General features: G+C 38.1%; 1 protein-coding gene across 14 annotated transcripts in view; it reads right to left on the reverse strand.

The window, feature by feature from the left end:
* DNAH5 (dynein axonemal heavy chain 5) overlaps positions 1-24,298 on the reverse strand; it is a 321,491-nt gene that overhangs the window by 66,921 nt on the left and 230,272 nt on the right. For 11 of the 14 annotated variants that reach the window (XM_017009177.2, XM_005248262.4, XM_047416886.1 and 8 more), the window contains 9 exons: positions 23,581-23,711; positions 19,954-20,107; positions 19,191-19,458; positions 13,501-13,732; positions 12,253-12,367; positions 11,712-11,888; positions 8,728-8,931; positions 5,474-5,653; positions 1,598-1,735 (listed from right to left, as the gene is read on the reverse strand). In XM_017009177.2, coding sequence (XP_016864666.1) covers positions 1,598-1,735; positions 5,474-5,653; positions 8,728-8,931; positions 11,712-11,888; positions 12,253-12,367; positions 13,501-13,732; positions 19,191-19,458; positions 19,954-20,107; positions 23,581-23,711 — 1,599 coding nt within the window. Of the gene's footprint in view, positions 1-1,597; positions 1,736-5,473; positions 5,654-8,727; positions 8,932-11,711; positions 11,889-12,252; positions 12,368-13,500; positions 13,733-19,190; positions 19,459-19,953; positions 20,108-23,580; positions 23,712-24,298 lie in introns of those variants that run through there. The other 3 variants (XM_017009184.2, XR_001742034.2, XR_001742035.2) reach the window with 3 other exon arrangements.

A 24,298-nucleotide genomic window follows, 5' to 3' on the forward strand; every position in this document is an offset into this window, starting at 1 on the left:
TTTCTGTTTTTACGTCTTTGAGGAATTGCCACACTATCTACCAGAATGGTTGAACTAACTTACACTCTGACCAGCAGTGTATAAGCATTCTTTTTCTCCGCAATCTCACCAGCATCTGTTGTTTTTTGACTTTTTAATAATAGCCATTCTGACTGGTGTGAGATGGTAACTGATTGTGGTTTTGATGTGCATTTCTCTAGTGATCAGTGATACTGAGCTTGTTTTCATATGATTGTTGGCCGCATGTATGTCTTTTTTTGAAAAGTGTCTGTTGTAAAGAAAGCAAAAACTGACAAATGGGATCTAATTAAAATAAAAAGCTTCTGCACAGTAAAAGAAACTATCCACAGAGTGAAGAGACAACCTCTAGAATGGGAGAAAATTATTGCAAAATATGGATCTGAAAAAATCTTAATATCCAGGATCTATAAGGAACTTAAAGAAATTCACAATTTAAAAAAAATCTCATTAAAAGTGGGCAAAGGACATGAACAGACATTTTTCAAAAGTGCTACTTCTTTAAAGCTTCCAAAAGCATTTACTTTGCTTGTGGAAGACTTATCTTTAAGACATTATATCATACATTCTGCAGATATTGAAACTGAAATGTTTATCTAAACTCTTTTATTGGGACCCCTACAAAACTAACAAGGCAGGAATTTCAATTCGGCCAAGTAAAGGCTGAGAAGGGGTAGAGGTGAATTTCATAAAATTATCAAGGTAAAACAGAGTGAATCTAGCTATTATTTACCAAATATTGGATTTATCAGAGGCAGATACAGATTTTATTAAGCCAAAAGCTTATATACTCTAGAGAGACCACTTTGTAAAAAAAAAAAATCAGTATGTATTTAAAGTAAAAAAAAAAAAGTGACAAGATCCTGGTTACTTAGAAACTCAGGTACTTTTCCTCTGTGATCTCTTTAGGCATTTGACTTGAATGCTCTAAAGTGAGAACAAAGATAGGTAAGGCACTAGGGTGCCTTGGCTCACACCTGTAATCCCAACCTTTGGGAGGCCGAGGCAGGTGTATCACTTGAGCTCAGGAGTTCGAGACCAGCCTGGGCAATATGGTGAAAACTTGTCTCTACAAAAAATTAGCCAGGCATGGTGGTGCATGTCTGTAGTCCCAGCTACTTGGGAGGCTGAGGTGGAATGATCACTTAACCCCAGGAATTCAAGGCTGCAGTGAGCCATGATCATGCCATTGCACTCCAGCCTGGACGACAGAGCAATACTTTGTCTAAATAAATAAATAAATAAATAAACCCACCCTGCCTACCTTGCAAGTTACTTCAAAGATTAAATGAGATAAAAATGGGAGGACATGATTTGAAAAACATAACAAAAATGCTAGTACACAAGATGCTGTCATCACTACCAACACCACTAACAAAGAAACTCAGAATGGCTATGTTCCAGCACTGACAGCCATCTTGACTGACCATCCTGTTGTCTCATCAAAGACCCTTGGTGTCCATTATGTGCTATGTATGTATTATGTATAAATTCAGTGAAACCCCACAAGAACCCAAACTCTTGGAGAGAGAAGCCGTGTAGATATGTGACAGTCCCTGCCATGACAAAGGGCAGTTACCTGCTTTTCAGTCATGGCCTGTTCATACTCAGCCTGCACCACGTCAAGTTCCGCCTGCTTGTCATCCAACTCGGCCTGGGCTTTCTGCAGATCCTGCATGGCCAGGAGATGGCGATTCTCTTGCACCACCAAGTTGGCCTGCACAGGACACACACAGAGTGAAGAGATGGGCAGCCAACCTCAAAACATCCTGCATTTCAGGGTCTGAGAACTCAGCTAACGTCACATGTTTATACCTTTGCTTTGTTCCCGCTCCAGAATCCTTTCAAATCACATTAAGTCCTGAACAAATCTTAATGTGAACTTGACATAAATGTGTATAAGCAGAAAGTTACACTTCATTAGAAAGGAGGTCAGCAAATATTTTCTTTAAAGTGCCAGATAGTAAATATTTTGGGCCAAGAGGCAAAATCAAAATTATTGTTCATGTACTTATTTTAAAACTATTTAAACATGTAAAACCTACTCTTATTTCACAAGCCATCCAAATATAGGTAGTGGGCTAGATTTGGCCCACAGGCCATAGTCTACCTAGATCAGAACACTGTAATATTAAATGTATATAGGTAAATTATAAAACATGCTAATATTGAGAGTTGTAGAAAAAAACAATATTTAGAACTATCTGCCTAGCAGGACTCATCACTGTTGAGGAGTAATAAAGGATGTAAAATGATTATTTACTGAATATAAATATCTACGTTTTGTGTATCGTGGTGGTCTTGACATTGTTCCTGTCACTTTCATATATTTCTTGCCTTCTGGAAAGCGTATTTGATACCTTGAGCTGTGACTAATTAAAAATGTTTATTTTAAAGAAGCTATTAAGATAGAATCAAAAGACTTAACCAAAAGCAATATTAGCAAAAGATGAGATGTAAAAAAGTAGTTCATGCCTAAGAAATTTAGATCCTTTAAAATCATTTTTGAAACCAAATTTTTCCCTTTTAAATTTATAAAGTGTTAATATTGACTTTCATGGGATGACTAGAAGGCATATTCTTTCTGAAGTATTTGAGAAAAGATTATTTTTAAAACACTTTTGAAATAAATTATTTTCCTATCTCAAAACTTCAGGCTTCCAAATTTTGGCAGAATAAATCTTTAGGGAAAAACTCAAGAGTTCCATAATTGACTAGATCCAGTGATGGGCAAAAGCATCGCTTGTAAGTTACAATTTAAAAAGAACCTGACTGGTGGAACATTTTTTCCTCAGCTCTGCTGTAAGCTGCAACTGTTCCCATGGCTCAAAACATGGAAGGAAAAAGTAAAGTCACCGTGTCAAGCAACTTACAACTTAAAGTCACCTGCTAATGACAAACTTTGCAAACCCAAAGATTTTGAACATTTTCTAGTACTTTACTCACCAATAAATAAATAAATAAAATTTATATTAAATGAAGCTGTCAACAATTGCTAATCAAAATCCTTCAAACCCAATTAATTGCTCAACTTAGGACTTGTAGAACTCTGTGCAGGCTGCTTAAACCCTGTGAGCTTCAGTTTCTTCATTAAAATATTGAAAAACTAACTCCTAGGACTTTTTATGAGGATTAAATAAGATAACATATGTAAAATCCCAAGTCTAGTCCCCGGCACATAACATGAGTTCAATAAATAGTAGATGTTGTTACTGTTATTATCTATGTTCAATATTTAAGTTCTGCTTTTTTATAACATTCTCTTTATATGTACTCATACTGATTTCCATAAAGTTTTCAAGGAGAATCTCATTATAAGGAACTTGAATAGAATCTAAATTGCTATTGCCGCTAATTCATACTTGTTTGAATTTATTCACTACTAGAAGTCACTTAGCCCAACTACAAGGATTGCAAGATGAAAGATAACAGCTCCTCAGTGTGTCCATTACTAATTAGTGTCTAAGAGATTCCACCTGGAATTTAGGGAATGCCCTTGACCTCTCCTCACTTAAGAAGCAGGGGTTTGCCAGTGAAGCCCCTCCAGGAAGAAGGGAAGTTAAAGTCGTAGGTCTGAATTTCTTAATATATTCAACAGAACCACCTGGTGACAATATGCACTCACTGCCTCTTCTACTCCTCCCTACACAGTGAATGCGGGTCTGTGTAACAGCATGTATTTTTCGGACTGACGTAAGAGGAACCTGACAAGCTGAGTGGTCCAAGATGCTAGATACTTGTAAGAATATAAGAGAACAGACTTCTCAGAAAGAAAAGCACAGGTTGTAGGAGTAAATAAAAAGGTTCCCACTACTGATAGTGTTCCCTTCACTTCCTACTGCAGGACCCAGATTGTCTTGAGACAAGCTGAAAGCTGAAATGTGGATGGCATTGAATACAGGGGAAGAGATCTCATTGTTCTTATGCAAGCCTTGTTCAGAATGTCCATGTTTAACAATTTCAGCTATGTACTTAAAATGACAACAATAACAGAAAAAAACTATGCATCATGAACTTAACTGTAGTTCTCTTTAAGACACTATGTGGCCGGGCACAGTGGCTCACGCCTGTAATCACAGCACTTTGGGAGGCCGAGGTGGGCGGATCACGAGGTCAGGAGATCAAGACCATCCTGGCTAACATGGTGAAACCCCATCTCTACTAAAAATACAAAAAATTAGCCAGGCATGGTGGTGGGCGCCTGTAGTCCCAGCTACTCGGGAGGCTGAGGCAGGAGAATGGCGTGAACCTGGGACGCAGAGCTTCCGGTGAGCTGAGATCAAGCCACTGCACTCCAGCCTGGGTGACAGAGAAAGACTCCGTCTCAAAAAAAAAAAAAAGACACTATGCATGGTTACCCACTGGAAAAGTATGCAAAGAATGACTGTACTTTTCACTTGATATAATGGTTCTAATTCAGTCAATATCAGATTGTCCATTTTTGAGCTATGCTGAAGTCTTCAATAGTCACAATATCCATGGTGTCAGACAGCATGACATCAATTATTTGCTCTGAAATTCTCGGACTCAAATGACTCTTTGTCCCTTTAGGTTGTCCTGGGACCTCAAGAGCCTCAATTGCTGAATATATGGTCCTGGTATCACAACAAGTAGAAACAAAATAGAACTTGCAACTCCATGCCTGTCTTCCTGATACTCTTGATTATTTGTATGATGATTGTTAAGTTTCTTGGGTAGTTAACAAGTGTAAGTAGAATGTAGTTGATGATTAAGAGAGATGAGACTCATACAAAAGCAAAATAATCAACCAAGCCATGAGATATGATTTTGAGACATCAGCATTTCATTTTCAAAAAACCCACTCTCCATTGCCTCTCCATTTGCTGAAGACTGACCTTTTAATGGTAGAGGAATATGCAAAAATGAAGCTTAAGGATTCAATTACACAAAGGAAATAAAAAGCATGTCTAAAAAGTCACATTAAATAACAAATATTCAGATATTCAGTTTCTTTCCTGAGAGACAAAACAAAAATGGAAAAGGGAGGAATACATCACGTCTTAAGCCAAGCTAAGACCAGCTTTCAGCATGTTCTGTCTTGACCCTACCTCACTCATAGGATTCTCTGGATAAAGATCTGAAATATCAGCAGAGGATTCTGTGCTACAGTTTGCAGCGTTTTTTGTTTGTTTGTTTTTGTTTTTTTCAAGTTAACATTGTGGAGGAAAAATATCGAGCAGCCCACAATGGACCTGTAGGGAGCATCCTTGTAGAGAGTCTGTCCCTGCTTAGAGGCTCATATGGTTCTGATTAGAACAGGATTACAAAGAAGAAAGAAACATCCCATGCTTGGCCTTTCTATGCTCACTCTCCCCATGGACCTGAGTATCCTAACACCAGAAGCCACAGGCACATGTGCTCCTGTAAAGATAAGACGGGTCGACCTGGAGACTCCGCCCAGCCACCTTCACCCAGGTCTGCCTAGCAGGCTTACCTTCAGAGGCAGTACTTCTTTGTTTATAGAAAAGAAGGAAGCCATAGCTTTCGTCCAGGAACAAAGACCAGCTACATTTCCACATACGCGTTTAGCAGTTTCGATGTTATAGTCAGGCATTTCAAAGTAAGGACTCAAAAATTCTATCACCTCTTCATTGATTGTGTCTTTTGGGAATTGCTATGGAAGAAAAGAGTAAAATAAAGTCGAAACACTTCTTTCCATAAAGTCATACTTGCATCATGCTCTCAATGCCACTGAAACTACTGAACGACCACAAATGAATGAAGGGCATCATATTTTGTCACTATTTTAAGATATGAGGCAAAAGTCCTAAAAGTAAAAATACAGTAAGAAATGACAGCAAAGAAGTCTGTTAGAGTACACTTTGTCTTCTGTAGAAAAGATACCAACCTTAAATAAATATAATGAGATCCAGGGAAAGAGTAAATTATTTAGGTGATGAACACTAATATTGTTATTAGAATTTCCAAAGCAATAAAGATTTTTTGTCATTAATCCTAAATGGATGAATTACAAACCCATAAAATCCACAATGAAAACTAAACACACCTAGGTGTATTCAGTCTGAGGATATACATATTTAGCATTTATCAGCAACTAAACGCTTAATACATTCAGACAGAAGTTTTATTAAACTCACCTAAAATGTGAAGATAATAACTTGGACATTAGGCTTTGAGGGTGATGAATTAATTTTTAATCATAGAACTATCAAGAATATGAGAGAATTATTATCTTCTGGTGGGATAAAAATTTAAAATAGTAGCAGAAATGAATTAAGAATGCCTTTCTGCATCACAAAAAGAAGACTGACCAAACAATGAAATTGGATCTTTTAAAAGTGGTGTTTGATCATTTAAAAGAGGATGATTAAATGTTTTCCAAGCGGAAAGAAATTTAGCAACTAAATAATTTAGTGACACAAACCTTCGCAGAACACATAATGTATAGTAGAACACACTCTCATTCAGACCTCGTTTAATGTAACTCATTTTTATGAGACTTGAAAAATTGTAACCCCAAAAAAAGCCAGATGAATGTCTGGGAGCAACAGAAGGTCAGTGGTGACAATGACAAATGCAAGGGAGAGTCCAAGAGCAGGGGCTTTGCCACCAGGTAAATGTCAGGAACGTGTAATCACTTGTCAGGATTCCATCCAAAGTCCAAGTCTATTGGCAGAGTCTCATATTATAATTATCTGGGACAAGTCTGTTTGGCCCACTAGTTTCATAAGCTACTTATCGTTATAGCTGCTGTGTGCACCTCACCACAGGCCCCAGACATAGCAGTCACTTGAGCAATGCTGAATTGAAAACCAAAAGAAAGATGGTGCTGAATTCACAACTTGGGAAATAGAGGTGGACTGGGTATTCCCAATTAGTTGTTTTGAGATTTGAACATGAAAGAAAAGACAATAAAGCTTCCAGAAGAAAACTAGAAATCTGCCTTGGATGTGGGCAAAGATCTCCTAAACAGAACATAGAAAGCACTATTAGGGAAAATATTAAGAAATTGGACTACATTAAACCTAAGAATTTCTGTTTATCAAAAGACACCATTAATCGAGGGAACAACTAACGCCAGAAAGCAGCAGAAAATATTTGCAAACATATAAATGACAAATTAGTCATATTTTACATATAAGGAAATTCTACAAAGTAATAAAAAAAATTAACTGGACAAGCAACTCCAACAGGCACTTAACAAAAGAATTCCCCAGAGGCTCATAAGCCTATGAAAAGGTTGGGAAATGCAAATTAAGCCAACAATAATAAGACACCACTACAAACTCATCAGAGTAGCTAAAAGAAAATGGTGAAGATGTTGAGCAACTTATACACTGCTGGTAGGTATATATATAGATACATCAGTTTTGAAAACTCTTCAGCACTGCCTACCAAAGCTGATTAAATGTGTATAACCAAAGTCCCAGAAATTCCACTCCTGAGTATGAAACCAACAGGAATGCATACCTAGAGCCACCAAATGACCAATATTCACAGCAGCTTGATTTATAATAGCCATAAATTAATACTAAGCCCAAAATTCATCAAAAGTACAAGGGACAAACAAAATGAAGCATATTATAGTGTTTCACACTGGTGCTGGTTCAAACAGGCTTGTAAAAAATGATTGTTAAATTTCCAAGAATTCTGCAAACTTGTTAGACTCCGCCATTATTAAAAATTAAAATATATAAGCTTACAATTAAATAAATGATATCTCAAACAAAGATTATAGTCAAAGCTCATAACTTGCTAATTCTTAGACTAAATTTGACTACCATCTGTGTTTTTGAGGTCATTTACAAGTATTGTATCTACATGGTGGAAACACTACACAGTGGCTGCTACCATGCACCTCTTCTCAACTCTAGATTCAGCAACATCATTTTGGCAGCTTAAAACAGCCATCATGGGAGTGCTTACACTATGGCAAGACTTCAAATTAGAGCTTTTTTTTTCTTTTTTTTGTTTTCCTTTCTCCCTTAAGAATCAGTTGTTAAACATTTCTCACACACAGTACAGCACATTTATATACTGGCAAACTATATAACAATGAAAAAAGAAAGACTGTCATTTGCAACAATAAGAATGAATTTCACAGACATGTTGAATGAAAGAGGTCAAAACAAAAGTGTTCATACAATATTATTTCACATATGCAAATTTCAAAACAGGCAAAGCTAATTATCTGGATAAAGGTAAGGATATAATTATCTTAAGGAAAGTTATTGACTTGGTTGGGGCACAAGAGAGATTTCTGGGGTCTGAAAATATATATTTTTCTTCCAGTGTTCACAAATAGGTATATACATATGTAAATATTCATCAAGTTATACATTTAAAATTTGTGCATTTATTCATGTTAAGTTCTATCTCATAAAATTAAAAAAGCTGTAAATTAATACTAAAAAATTACTGAGAAATGCAAAATACAAATATTTGTATTCATGTGAATATAATATAAATACATACTTATTGTCTTCTTAAAATGATTTTTTTAACTTTTATTGAAGTATACATAACACTGATGATGCTTTAATACAACTAAAATCTGTCAGGAAAAACTCTAATGCTTATAATGTTTTATATTTGAGACAAAGTTTTACTCTGAAAAAATCATGTATGTAGAGTAAGTTCTTTTTTTAGAAACTTATTCTACGAAAAGGACTCATACACCAGTGAAGAATGAGTTCCCTCTTAGCCCATCACCACTGAACTACCAACCTGTAAGTTCTGTAAAAAGTTCCCTGCAGTCATCAATTTTAAGGATTCCTGCCAGGAGGGCATGGTACAGCTTTTTTCCAGGTCAATTTTCACAGCACTGACTTTCCTTTGAAACAGCAGCAGTACGCAATCCATGATCCGCATGATGAGGTGAGGGGGGCGGCCCAACGTGCGAACAGTGGCGATGTCCGAAGGCCTGATGGTCTGGGGGATGAAAGGAACGATCACCCAACCACAGATAGGAAAGCACAGACAAGCAAACCTTGCATGTCCAAATGCTGCTATTTCAACAGAGGACAGAAAACTGTTTTAAGTTAGATGCAGGCCACAGGGTCTAGATGCATATTTAATCCCAAAGAAACACCATGTCCCAACAAGTTCACATTTCTACTATTCAAACTAGCAGTGACAGGAAAGAAATGTTGGCGAGCAGATAAGGAGCTGTGACTTCTCTAAAAGTGCACAGATGGCTTTGTGCCAGAAAAAAGAAAGGCATAATCTGAAAGAAAAAGAATAGTCAGCACATAAGTAGATTTCGAGGTTCAAAACCAGGAAAATTACAGTATTTGTGGTGCTTTTTTACTTATTAGCTATGTAGGTCAAGAATCTGCCTCTCTCTCTTAAACAATTCAGGCTCGTCACTGTGGACTGACACCAGAGGGTAGCCACAGGGCTGACAGATTGAATAATTAGAGGTTTCTTAGCTAGGAACTGACCTTTAAATGACGGGACTTGAGCAATAAGAATTTTACTAAGCTCTCTCTTAGAAAAGTTCCATTCCATTTCTAGTATGTATACACTTATAGAGTAAATGATTTAATAGTCACATACACCTGTTTTGGTTGATAATAACTGCTCAATCACCTAAAACTCACTATGGAATAAGTATTGAAAAAGTGTTAAATGTAAGAATTGGAAACAATCCTATCTCTAAGACAAATAGTATATATTCCTTCCTTCCAGATCTTCAAAACATCCATCTGGTTTGTATTTGCATCCTTTCTATCAAAAGACAGTAACCAATGACCTTCACATAAAAGTGAATGATTTTTTTCTCCAAGGACTGAGGACAAAGAAAAAACACTAAACTTGGTAAATTAGGAATGTAATTACATACCTTGAAAAGGTTTGTATATATATATAGTTTTGCTTTTGTTTTTTATTTTGAGACCTGAGTCTCACTCTGTCACCCAGGCTGGAGTGCACTGGCGTAATCTCAGCTCACTGCAACCTCCCCCTCCCAGGTTCAAGTGATTCTCGTGCCTCAGCCTCCTGAATAGCTGGGACTACAGGCACACACCACCATGCCGGGCTAATTTTTGTATTTTTAGTAGAGACAGAGTTTCACCATGTTGGCCAGGCTGGTCTCAAACTCCTGACATCAGGTGATCTGCCCACCTCGGCCTCCCAAAGTACTGGAATTACAGGCGTGAGCCAGCATGCCCAGCCTGTTTTAATATATTAATACTAGCAGTTATGAAAGCCAGACAGCTGGAAGTTAGGGTGAATGTGTAGTAGAGAACTGAAAATGGCAAACAGACCTTTATTTGAGGTGCACAGTTATAAAAGAAAAGAGAAAAATAGAACAGCAGCCAGTGAGGAAAGTAGGGTAGGGTCAAATTAAAGTTATATAAAATGTAAGGGCTAGGCATGCTTACTTTACTTTAGCTTTAAAAATAATTTTCAAACAGCATGGTGCTCAGCTGTGTTAGATGCCCAGGTAAAAGAGGTTGGAGAGGGGAACAAAAACTCAACCTGTTTCACCTAAGCATTAAAGTCCTCTCTTTTCTGCAGGCCAAGAAATATGACTGTTATATAATCTCCTATATGCTGTGGCAATAGAACAGTTATCTAACATCTGGAGGTATTTTTTATTTTTGCTCTGAGCTGGTTAAAGTCACATTAATATCAAGATAGGAAGAGACACATTCTTTGCACAAGATTTGTTGTCTTATTTGTTGTATGGATTTATGTAACCTGATGTCAAAATGTTAAGAGTTTGTACATACCTGGAACTTTCTTAGTAAAAGTGAGTCTTCAAAACTGGACCAGCCTTTAAGGTGTGGCCTAGTTCACTAAACTCATTTCATTTTCTCAAAATCCAACCTCTTTTGTAATTTTGCCATTGGTGTATTGCCACATAGTTTGATATGGTTTAGCTCTATGTCCCCACCCAAATCTCATCGCAAACTGTAATCTCCACATGTCAAGGGAGGGACCTGGTGGGAGGTGATTGGATCATGGGGACAGTTTCCCCCATGCTGTTCTCATGATGGTGAGTGAGTTCTCAGGAGATCTGATGGTTTCAAAGTGGCAGTTTCCCCTGATCTCTCTCCCGCCATCTTGTGAAGAAAGTGTCTGCTTCCGTTCACCTTCTGCCATGATCGTAAGTTTCCTGAGGCCTCCCCAGCCATGCGGAACTCTGAGTCAATTAAACGTCTTTTGTTTATAAATTACCCCGTCTCAGGTAACATCTTTATACAGTGTGAACACAGACTAATACACAATTGTACTGTTTAATTGCGTTGGAAGCCTGCTCAAACTCTCTCATTAATGTGCTACATCAGACCAGCAGCTCTCTATTTGGGTAATTCATAGACAGAAAACGTCGTATCTTACAGATCACCTACTCCATTGGCCTCAATGAATGAATGAGAGAATGTTGCCTTAGAAAGTTGATGTAACTTTTCCAACATTACATAGCTTATTGATGACAGAGTTGAAATGAGGACCCAGGACTCTTGGCCACCAGTATATGGCATTGCCCAACATTGATGAGTGAAGAGTGTGAGATGTTAAGCAGAACAGGCAAAACCTATAAAGAGCTAATAAAGTCTCAAGCAGAAAATATTACTTGAAATCACTCAAGTGGATAGAGCTTTCATCTGAACCAGTAGAGCATTTCCTTGCTGTTATTCATCTTTTTAGCATTAGTCTGCCTCTTAAGCCCTAAAGCTGACATCTGTTATATCACATAGATGCACCTGCAATGCAGCTTCTGCCTCTTCTAAAGCTGGTTTTGCTGCTTCCAGTTTTTCTTCAGCAATGGCTTTGTCTTTAGAGATGCTGTCCACAATGGCCTGGGCCCTGTCCTTCACCTTCTGTACCTCAGCCTTGACCTTTTCAGCAGCCTGTGCTTTCATTGTCACTTCTTTTAAGACCTAATTCAATATAAAGCAAGCAATACTTCACCAAACAGTATTAAACATCCAGCTGAAAATGCACATTTTTGCCTTGATTTGTTGATTTTGTTCACTTACCCAGTTTTGTTGTTTTTTTTTTTTTTTTTTGAGATGGAGTCTCGCTCTGTCGCCCAGGCTGGAGTGCAGTAGCGCGATCTTGGCTCACTGCAAGCTCCGCCTCCTGCACTTACCCAGTTTTTTATACATAAAATTAAGAGTATTTTATTCCAATGGAAGTTAATGTATACTTCACTAGTTATAGCCAGTGAATATGCATAGATCATTAACACTTGTGAACTGAGAATTCAAAAGGAATGTGGCACATGTGTAAATGCCCACCCACCATGTCGGCTTTATCGTTGGCCACTTGTAGCTCCTTTTCTTTCGCTTCCAGTTCTTTACTCAAGGCTGCAACAGACTCTGAAGCTTCTTTGAGCTTTTCCAATCCAGTATTCATTCTGGGATTGAAAATCCAAGCAAGCAATGTTAAAATGTGTAGGACTTGGATGCAATTCTCAAGTACTGGTCCAATAATGAGTGGTAATGGTTATATCTGAAGATTGCATGTATGCAAGTAGCAAACCCAAGAGGGCTTAGCAAAAAGGATACAGATCCAGTCTTGACTCTAGACTGATAACATGTATGTTCTTTACAGACCACGTGCAAGAACAGCGAACCTGCTAGAACACACGACATGAAATTAGGAACGACAGTAAGGCTAGAATCTGTATCACGAAGGAAACATACTTAATGACATTAGGCTAAATGACAATAGACTTCAAATGCTTAAAGCTCAGTCATGCAGGAAGGAAAATAATGCCTGTTTTTCAAAAGAGACATATGAAGTCAAAAGAAGAATGATGTGGGCTTAAGAAACCAATTTAAAGCCATCAGAACAGCTGTAGGAAGGAACTAGCTGCCTGCCTGAACCTGAAATAACGTGACCATAGAGATGGGAACCCTCCGAGTCATTTCGTGTAACTGCCCACCCAGGGATTCCTTACTCTGGCTGATTCTAGCCACGCTCAGGAAGATGATCTGATCAGAAAAGCATAGGGCAGAGCAGTGACATTTGGAAGAAACTTCAGGGAAGCAGGGATACTCCTTAGGCAGTGAACATATGCATCAACCTGGCTTTTCCCTCTCAGTCACTCAGAAGGGATGGGAAGAGAAGGGCAAGAAGAGGGAAGAGGGGATGTCTGCATTCGCAACTCCCGTCCAGGTCTATTATTTCTATCCTGATGTCAATCAATATTATAGAACGCAGTAGGCCACATAAAAACCTGGCAATAATTTATCCTACTGGGCAAGGAACAGTCAATAGGCTCTAGAGGAGGGTTTCCCAACCTCAGCACCACGGACATTTGGGGCTGGATAATTCTTTGTTGTGGAGGAAAAGAACTTCAGGAAGTTTAGCAACATCCCTAAGCCTCTACCCACTACATGCCAGCAGTACCCCTTCCCTGCCCTGCCGCCACAGCTATGATACACAAAATGTCTCCGGTCATTGCAAAATAGCCACCAGGGCAAATCTGTCCCTGGTTGAGAGCCACGGCTTTAATATAGCTTTGTATAAGAACATCACACTTACCTGTTGGCCAGGGTCCGCACCTCCACATGCTTTTCTCCATATATGAACTTATAGCCCTGAATAAAGGAGAGGTATGATTTGGGCGTCACGTGGGTAGAACGTCGGAATCTCTGAAAATAATCAACACACTTCTCAGCCACCCCATCCTGGAAGGAGCCCATGCATTGGACCACCTCCTTCTTGATTTCCAAACTGCAGTCAATATCATAGGAAGTGAGGAAGTGTTCAGACACTAGAGAGAATAAAGATGACAGTGTGTGAAATATGTATGTAAGTTACCCTTTTAAAAGTTAACTGTTTATTTCTAAAACTTAGACATTTCTTAGGAATGCAAACCATTTTTGTAGCCCCAGCTAGGTAGATCTGTGTCAGCATTTTTGGCCCCAGGCCTATAACATCAACAATTTTATTTTCTGTTGTATATATAAAACTATAAAAACACTTTAAGCCTATCAACACTCTTTGTTGCCTGGTGCTTGTGCAGAGACATCTCTTCTACACAGCTGCAGGTTCTGGTCAGCAGCCAACCTGTTTTATGGTTTACATCAGGACAAATGGTACAAATAACTCAGAAATCAGTGCCCACCTGGTACTCATATTTAACAATGCCATTTATTTTGTCACTCAGAACCTATCACACCCTTAGTCCACCCTGGCTCTGACTGCATTTGGCATGTGGAAACGCTCATCACTAAATTTTTTTATGCTGGAGTCATCTTGTTCTTAAATGTGGCAGCTGGTCATTTGTGGTCAGTTCTTATTTACAGTATTCTTTTAGAATGTTTGGGTAAAAAGTCTCCTGTTGGAGACCTTTACCTTCCCCACATTGCCAAATGGGGGACCAATTCTAAGACAGCCTTCCCTGCTATGGGAATAGGCTCATCAATCACCATGTACACTGAATGCCTGTTGCGGAGCCACCACTGCGACGGGTGCCATGGAATGAAAGAGGAACGTGAAACTTGGTCTCAACCCCAAGGAATTTACAAGCATCACACAAAATACGGTTAAAATTATCACAACCATTTCTATGTATCTCAGAAGAAACAACCTATGTATATAAGTATTGTAAAGAGAAATATGGTCAATAAAATGGGAGAGAAATGAATCAAGTAAGCAAGGCTTAAAAAGGCAAAGACATACAAATAGTACTTATCACCATCAGTACCCAATCACTAAATTAAGTTCTTAAGGCTGTTATTGTGGGGCTGTATTTACATTTATGTAAATAATAGAGACAATTCATCGGCTTCATTACAAAAACAGTTTACCATATACCAAAAGGCAATAATTAAGTCACATTTTCTCATATAAGTTAGCCAACCAGTACAAAGAACGGTTTAAACTCTAAGAAGTTCAAGTCTAGGTACTGGAACCATAGAACAATTCATACTTATGATACATTTTGTGTAGGTGTTAACCACAATGGCTGCGATGTCTACCATGTGCCAGGCATGATGATCAATGCTTTACTTGGCATTATGGGATATTCTCGGGGAAGTGCCCGCTTTCTGAAATCTTCCTTGTATTTATCATGTAATGATTTTCTTTCTTCTTATCTGAACAAACAGTATCAATAATGGTGACCTTATTCTTTACGTAGCAAATTGTCCTTTTGTCTCTCCAAAAAGTCAAAGAGAATAAAATCAGGATGGATTCTAAGTATATTTTTCCACAGACCCAGGATCTCTGGTGCAGGAAAGGTTACAGAAAGAAGCAGAACACTCCCTCTTAGAGTGACCCGTGCCTGCTGAGATTCAGTCAAGAGGCCAGAAAACCCTTCTGTCATCTTCAATATCCCATCACCAAGGCAGTAATGCCAGTTTTGGGGCTACCTCCAGGGATTTTACAACATAAAGCATATTTTTCTTTAAATGATTCATCAACAGATTCAGTCCATTTAAATTCATACATATAAAAAACTCACTTTTTTTCCAAAGGTATTTAGAAGTTATTAAAATTACTACAAAATCCAGTATCAGCCCTAGGGGCTTCTTTAAATTAGAAAAACACATAATAATGTAATATTTTATTTTATTGGAAATATTTCTTATGATCTAAATGAAATGCTAACACAAACGAATGATATATTTCTTTCTAGATGCAGCTGGAGGTAATAATTTAATTCAGAATCAATATCCTTAAGGCAACTAAAATAACAGTTTTTCTAGAAACCTTGTTGCTAATTTTCTAAAAAGAATAAATAACACTGAAATCCCTAAGTGTCTAAGTACTTCTAATACTCACAGATGGTATTCTTTCAGGATAACACTAGGCAGGTTAGTATTGGGTGTGGAGACATTGATTTTCCCAACAAGATTTTCTATTTATTGAAGAAAGAAACCATGTCTTATGTCTTTTAGTTCTTTTATCCATTACTATGACTAGCATAGTATTAAACATTTATGTAGTATGCAGGCTGTAAATAGACTAAATTGGAGCTATAACCACAAAAATTACTGGTTATCAAAAGATTTAAAACGATTTAAATGTGCAGGTAAATTATGTAAAGCATAAGTGTTATAGATATAGGAGGTCCAAGAAAATGGGAAAATTTCAAATATTCCAAAGAGAACAAAGGAGGATTGAAGGATGTGATGTATCTTGATTAAGCCTTGGAGATTGAATAAATAAAAAAGATGGAGAAGAATATTCTTGGTAGAGGGACTAGTGTGAAAGGATAAGGATGATTAAAGCATGTTCAGAGGGAAAAGAGGTATATCCAAAGTTGAACTAGAGAAAGACTGCAAGTGATCAAGGCCATATTATGGAAAGATGATGAATTTCTACACAGTCTGATCCATTCATTCAACGTCATAAGTATCAAACACCAGTAGCTGCTGAAATTTGAACAAAGGATGTGTAGTTCTTGACCTCATGGGAGTTTTTAGTCTAGTAAGACATTAATTTAGTTTTTAGTCTAGTAAGCATTCATCAAATAATTAACACAATGAGGTACATAAATTACACACTGTGGTTAATCCCAAGAAGAAAAAGCACAGAGTGCTATGGAATGGATAACAGAGGACCTGGCTTGGGGGGAAACGGAGGGAAGCAAAGGAAGATTTTCCTGAAGAGATGACATTTAGCTGAGCCAGCATTATCCAGACAAAGGAGGAGTGGGTGGGGAGAAATAGGAGGAGGAGAGCATTGCATGGAACACAACTGGGGGAAAAAAAAAAGAGCATATTCAAGGATCCAGGAAAACAGAGCAGGAAAGAAAAGGGACCTCAGGAGAGCCTGGGGAGGTAGGTAGGATCAGCTCTTCCCAGCACGAAGGCCTGCTAAAGGTTGTGATTTTTCCTAAGAACAATAGGAAGACATGGAGGTTTTAAGCAGAAATAAATGCAACTGTATTTGTGTTTTTACCGTTTTTCTGTCTGCAATGTGAGATGGATGGGGGACAGGTGAAAGAGTTGAAGAGATCATTAGAAAGCTATTTGGGTTTTCCAGGTGAGCAGCAATGATAGCTTGGCCTAGGATGTCAGTGAAAGGGAGATGACTTGGTGATGGATAAGACTTGAGAGTTGGAGAAAAGGGGAGGTGTTGATGACAAAGGGGTCTCAGGTTGCCTAGTTTGATGAGCGATAATGGCCCTTCCTGAAAGGGGGAGACAATTTGAGTTTCAGACATTTTCAGTTTAAGAAACTTGTGAAGCATCCATAAGAATGGACCAGGCAGGCAGTTGAGTACACAGATTTCAAGCCAGGAGACAGACTAGACCGGAGAAAAAATTGATGGCACGTATTATAAAGGAGGCTGTGGACGAGCTTTCCTGGGGAGAGACTCTGGAGTACAGAATTCAGTCTGTCTTGTGTCTGTTGACAAGTCTGTCTTGTCTTGAGTCTGTCCAATAACATCATGAAGCTCAATATGTACGTTCCGAATAAATGAACAAATAGATTAATGCATGAAGGTTGGGATATTTGCTAGCAACTGAGGATAAAGAAAGGAAAGTTTCTCTGCCCTCCATGTAATCTTGGTTTGTGTTGGTGTGATAAGATTTAAAAGAATGGGACAATGAGAAATTAACAAAGGAGGGATCAATAAGACCTTTGTCTACAAAAGAAGAGATGACTGAAATAGGAACTTAACAAAAAGAGCTTCATATGTAAATCATCTTAATTTGGCATATTATAGTATCTGTCACCTGAAATTGTTATTTCCATTGTTAATACCTTACAGAGCATTTTATGAAGTACTTGCATATTGATAACTGTATTTCATAATAAACTTTAACATAGCTCTGAAATACTCTTGATCTGTGCTCTGCATGTATATCCTACTTGAGTTTTAAAATCTTTTTTTTAAGGTCTTTTGTTCTTTTTATTAATTTCCTTCCTTTCATCAGTGACTTTTTGTATTAAGAGCTACACTCCTTTTTGTTTTTTTTTTTTTTCAAATCTTACCTCCAGTTATATTTACATTTTTATGGGACTTTAAATTTTAAATCACTGGCCTTTTCTCAAACTTCTAAGACAAAAGGCAGAACTGTGCTGTAAATTTATATCACAAACATGTTAAAATATTCTGTGTTTAAAAGCCACAGATTGGAAAACCACTACTGTCAATAGTGAAGCGCTGAGAATAAAACTTCCCCAGTAGGTAAGAATTTGTTTTAAGAATAGGTAATTGATAGATAATCAATAAATAGATGATGGATAGATGGATGGATAGATAATAGACAGATAAAGATAGATGGATAGATAATGGATCGATGGATAGATAATTAATAGATATTTAGATAGATAATAGAGAGAGAAATACAGATAGATAGATAGACAGACAGACAGACAGACAGACAACCTAGGTTTCAGTCTCAGTACTGATCCCACTAACTTTTTCCACCTATGGCAACCCTCAACTTCATGCTCCTCAGTTTCTCCTTCTCTAAAGAGCAAGAGATGGGTTAATCAGTCATTCTCAGATGGGGTACCACAGAGCTGTAGAGGCAATGGTGAGGGCAGTAGAAGTGGGGAGTAAGAGGATGAGACTCCAGAATGCTTCCTCCGGCAACCCCCATCTACTTTTCACTGTTTTATCTACTAGGACTACTTGTAAGGTATTACTGGAAAATAAGGCTCTTCTGCATAAAACATTTTTAAAAATTTGAAAACTACTGTCCTGAATCAGGGTTCTCCTCATGTTCTGATGTAATAGGGATGAGACCTGGGTATCTGTTTCTTTTAAAATATCAACAGACAATTTCTCACCAAAAGCTTTCAAAAAAAAAAAAAAAAAGCTAAATGTACGCTCTCTAACCTCTCCTCTACTACTTTTATGTTCCAATTTCATTTGCAAAGTAAGGAAGCACTAATGGTCCATGGCATGGAAGATCAGAAAGAAGCAGAAGCAGCAAAGGGTCCAGTCAGAGACCATGCTGGTTAACATCTTTTGTCAAGGACAGAAACCAGCAGAGAATTGCTGGATGATGTTTTCCTCTTTGATTCTCAGCATTGCAGCCTTGAGAAGGAAATGTCCAAGAGATACTTGGCTTTAACCACTCTTGGGCTGACAAACCTACTTAAAAAGAACACAAATGCTGTCCATGAGATTAAACCTCTGTGCCTTCCCATGACATCCTGGAGCCTGCCTGGAGATCCAGCTGAGGCAGAGCCTTCAAGCATCCCTGAAAGAACTAGAATCCTTGAACACATGTTATGCCCTGGCATAAACATTTCCATACTAACCAGCAACTAAAGCATCTTTGGGCCATCGGCTGAACCAGTCAATTGTGCATCCTGAAATTAGGGCAGGGAACTTCAAAGCTCTGTTTCGAAATTTCTCCCCCACTGGCGAGAAGCAGAGCACAATATGAAGGTTCTGTCGGACCCGACTCATGAAGTAGTCGTGCAGGTTCTCATTGGTAGGAAGGCACCTGGGGAATTCTTTTTTCATGACTGATGCCAGGTCGCTATTAATTTCATCAATTTCATCTCGAGCAAATAGGTTAGAGACCTTAAAAAGAAGTACAGGCATGCAAATTCAGTACACACATAGGAAAATAGATCAAAATGTAGAGCTTAATACACAGAATGTCTTTTCTCCATTTGTGTTCTTGAACTCACCTACAGAAAATTGAAAGTTTTCAAGATGAAATACACTACGTTTTAAAATAAATAAATGATTCTACTATTAACTGCAAAGTTGTAGCCCCGGAAAGGAGTAAATGGACATGCCAAAAATCTAATTAGCTTTCTTTCTAACTTCGCTCTTCTGTTTTTTTCATTTGTTATTGGAACATTCACTGATGTTTTCAATGCTTAGCTCCAAATTTTGATGGAGAGTTTTATTCTTCAAAAACCCAATAGAAAAACCCATCCTTCATACTGATCACTTAATACCCATCCCCAATAGCACTTATTCACACCACTAATGGAAGAAAACATGTAGAGCTCTAAGCTGGAGGAAATCTGAAGGGATAAAACACATAAAGAATAAATGAGCTCCTACCTCACCTGATGATAAAACATTGTTCATATATTCCAAAAATGACTCATCTTTAATCTCATTGTCTGTGAAAATAAAAGTGATTCCTTTGCCTTGCTGACCAGCTGTTCGATACAAAACCTTCAGATCTTCCATCAGATTTGATGTGTTGTAGGATCTAAAGAAATATTTTCATTTTGTCATTAGCTAAAATATTTTCATGAGAGGGAAAGAACCTTGTAACAACGCATTATGCCATTTAGCTAACAAAAAAATGCTGATTTTGTTCTATCGTATACGTATGTATTCTATATGAATGTTACTGGTTAATTTTTAAAAATCCACATTTCATAAAACATTATAATTAATTAATGTTTCTACATAAAAAACTATACTGAAAAGTCAACCTGGAACAAAAATAGAATTTTTATCACAACCAAATGTCATTACATTTCAAAATGTATCTTTCTCAAAATTTTTTGACAATGATAAAAGTCAAATTCAATTATTGATATTTGATTGGCAATTGGTATTTGAGATGACAACTCATAAATTAAACTAAAATAAATAAATGCAAACTTTGGTTATACAGGGTGAGTGAGATGCCCTGTTATAAACAGTGCCTGCCTCATCCCCCAACACCGTTATCATCATTGCATGTTTGTATTATACATAAATAAACTTGTTTTCTGAGCAATCAGTACACTGTACTAGACTACCTGGAAACGTTGTGAAATATCCCAGTCTGAAGGTTCTCTAATTACCCAAAGCAATCTTTAGGTGGAAGTGAACCTACAATCAGGAAATATTAGAGAGTTCCCACTGTGGAGTGCTACATTATGCCAAAAGTATAAATAAAATTATCCCAATTCTGGAGACTCAGACTTACTAAATTATTATTTGTACTTTAGTCATGAAATAAACTCAGAATTCAGGGTGCAAGAGAAAAGAGCCATCTGATTTTTTAAAAACTAGTGAATATTTAACTCTACCTTTTTCTAACTTCTGTAACCTACACCCTAGAATTGGAAATATCACAACTATGCATCAATACTTCTAGAAGACACCTAAAGAAGTGAGATCCAAGAGATCAGAAAACAAATACTTCTAAAAGACACCTAGAGAAGTGAGATCTGAGAGATCAGAAAACAAATACTTCTAGAAGACACCTAAAGAAGTGAGATCCGAGAGATCAGAAAACAAATACTTCTAGAAGACACCTAGAGAAGTGAGATCCGAGAGATCAGAAAACAATTAGAAGATGCAGCCTCTAGAAAGAACGAAAGAGAGAAGGAAGGAAAGAAGGAAGGAAGGAAGGAAGGGAGGGAGGGAGGGAGGGGAGAGAAAGTGAGAGAGAGAGAGAAGAAAGAAAGAAAGAAAGAAAGAAAGAAAGAAAGAAAGAAAGAAAGAAAGAAAGAAAGAGAGAGAGAAAGAAAAAGAAAGAAAGAAAAGAGGAAAACATCTCACCCAGCTTCTTGTGATATGGGGGAAATTTTCAACCCGATCTCTTGGATCTCAAGGGCCCATTGCCTCAAATAATATGGCCTAAGACACCAACAAATAGTTGTGGTTCCCAAATGAGAGTCTCTTGCATCTCAGCCTTAGCCACATGGCTATACAAAGCCTTTAGAAGTTTGATAACATCTTGAAAGCTATGAAAAGGAAAGAAAGACCCTGGCCCTTCGTCTCATCAGTAATGGATCATTCCCAGTATGACATGCAGAGGAACTAGTCTGCCACAGTGAGAGTGGTGGTTGGGTATACTGGATGTGGCACTGTGGTGCAGTAAAAGTCACACAAGACTAGAAACCAGAAATCCTACAATCAATTCCCAGATAGATCAGAGATGTTGGGCAAGCCATAGCCTCTCTGAGCTTCAGCTGCAAGATGGGCTACTGCTATCTGTCCTACTAACTCACGAGGTTTTTTTGAAGATCAAATTAGCTCATGCATGTAAAAGTGCTTTGAAAACTACAAGGTTTTATACAAATGTTAGGAACAAAAATTTGAGTCCAATCCCTTTCCTGTGCAGGTTGCCTTTTATGTAGCTTGATTTCTAACCAAAAACTAGAAGAATCATATGCAAGGTAACTAGAATTATTTCTCTCTGTCCCAGTACTTGAATAAAACAGTAATCTTTGGATTTATTCTCCAAGAAGAACCCTATAGGTCAGACAAAACACAAAGTGTAACAACAGCTTAAATATTTGAATCTCCAAACCCAATGCTTAGTAACTTTCAGCCTTCATCCTAGCAGGTATCTATGGGCCTCCCTCAATGAGACAGGTCAGCAGCATGTTCTGCTTATCAGTGCCTGACTTCTTGCTCCTACACCTAGAAATTAACGTCAAATGATTTTCAGCCCAACCTAACTTCCCAAACTGGTCTCCTGGTTCTAACCTTATCTTGGTTAATCCTGAAATTCTGTTTCACCTCTCCAAATCACCTCTGTTTATTTCTTCATGTTCACTTTTCATGTGCTAATTATGCTTTCTCCCTGCACTACACCCACATCTGTGGTCAACTCCCCTGGGGTTCCTTGTCTTGATAAGAAGCAGCACCATCTAGATAGTTTCCCAAGCCAGAAACCAGGATGCACCAAGCCCTGAAGCTCCAACTTCCTGATGATCTTTTCCATTTCCACTCTCTATTCTCCATTCTCACTGCTGCCACTCATGACAGCATCATGGCTTGCCCAGACCCCTGAGACAGCCTTATAACTATTCTATTTTAGTTCCTTCTATTTTCTGTACATAAAATGTACCTGACATGTCCTCCCTAGGAGCAACTCATCAATGGTTTCCTATTGCTCTGGGATGAAGTCTGACTTTTTATCATCACTTTAAAGGCCTCCATTTCTCTTCCATTCCCACTTGTCACCCTACACTGTACACTCTGCAGTATTTAACTTCTTCCAGGACTGACTTTACCTGTGCTGATTCTTCTGCCTTGAACACACTTAACTGCTCTTCTGCTCTCAGTCTTCCTCATATTGAGGTTTCAGTTTAATCACTTTCTCCAGGAAGTCTTTTCTAATCATCCCTTAGACTAGGTTAGGAGCTCCTCCCTCAAGCTTCAATAGGATTTGGTCTGCATGTATTTCCTTATCATAGGTGGTGCCTATGAATCACACCTTACTGGGTGAGTTGGGTTGCTTAGTTGTCTGTCCCTTTGAGTTGCTACAAAATCCCTGATGATACGGCTAGATTCACCTTGCTCACCTAGCCACAGCTTGACACATAGGCAGTGTTCAATAACTATTCTGAAATGTTGGAATGAGTAAACCAATATAAAATCTTCATCTATTTTTCCATTGTATTAACATCCTTGAAATCTGAATTAACACTCAACAGGGACAATTGTCTTCTGAAATTCACCAAAAGTAGTGCATGTAATACACTATCATATATAACATAAAAGTAGGGAGGTGGCTACTAAGTGAGAGTTTGAAATATTTCAAAAGCAAATTATGACTGTGAAATGTTTATGATCTATGACAAAGGTTGACAGGGGAAGATGATAAGTCAACATTCAAGAAGGAAAATGACTGTGACTCTTTATATGTAAGAGAAATGCATTTGAACTTCAGGTGGCCTCTGAGCACCTTTTATCAAAATCCATGTTAGGTTTGTTAAAGTAAAAGGTTGTCACCTCGTCAGAGTGATCTGGAAGGAAACGTAGCCAGCAATGAATGAAGCCAACCTCGTCAGGCTCTGCTTTCCTGATCCGCCCACCCCGACCAGGAGGGCATTTCCCTGAGGAGTACGAATGACACGAGAGATCTGTAATATGGAACAGAAAAAGTATGTATCTTTCAACATGTAAATGTTCTATTTTTCCTATTTATTCAATATATGAATAAGGCCTAATTATTATTTTGGAAGATATAGGTGTCTCAAGATCAGACTGGAGACACACTGGTTGAAGGAATGAGGGCATTTCTGAAATAGAACAGTGTTGGGCTGCATCAGACGGGGTGGGAACCGTGGGGTGTGCCTTTAGGAAGTAGGAGGACACCAGGGCAGAAAAGTCAACACACAGCCGAGACCGTGCTTGCTCTGGCTTTTAAAGGAGATATCTATCTAAAGGGGACTTTGAGGATTCCTGTTAGTTGGTCTGACCTAATAGTGTATGACAGGAAGGAGAACAGAAATGTCAGAACAATGTCTACCCTTGGCATACAGGGCATCGTCGTTGATGAGAATATCCTCCACATTTGAAAAGTGTTCAAATTTAAATTGAAGGGAAGAAAAACCCCCAAAATGAGGTGATATGGTTTGGCTGTGTCTCAACTCAAATCTGATCTTGAATTGTACTCCCATAATTCCCACATGTTGTGGTGGGGACCTGGTGGGAGATAATTGAATCA

The sequence above is a fragment of the Homo sapiens genome, chromosome 5, assembly GCF_000001405.40.
Source record: "Homo sapiens chromosome 5, GRCh38.p14 Primary Assembly".
NCBI classification, from domain to species: domain Eukaryota; kingdom Metazoa; phylum Chordata; class Mammalia; order Primates; family Hominidae; genus Homo; species Homo sapiens.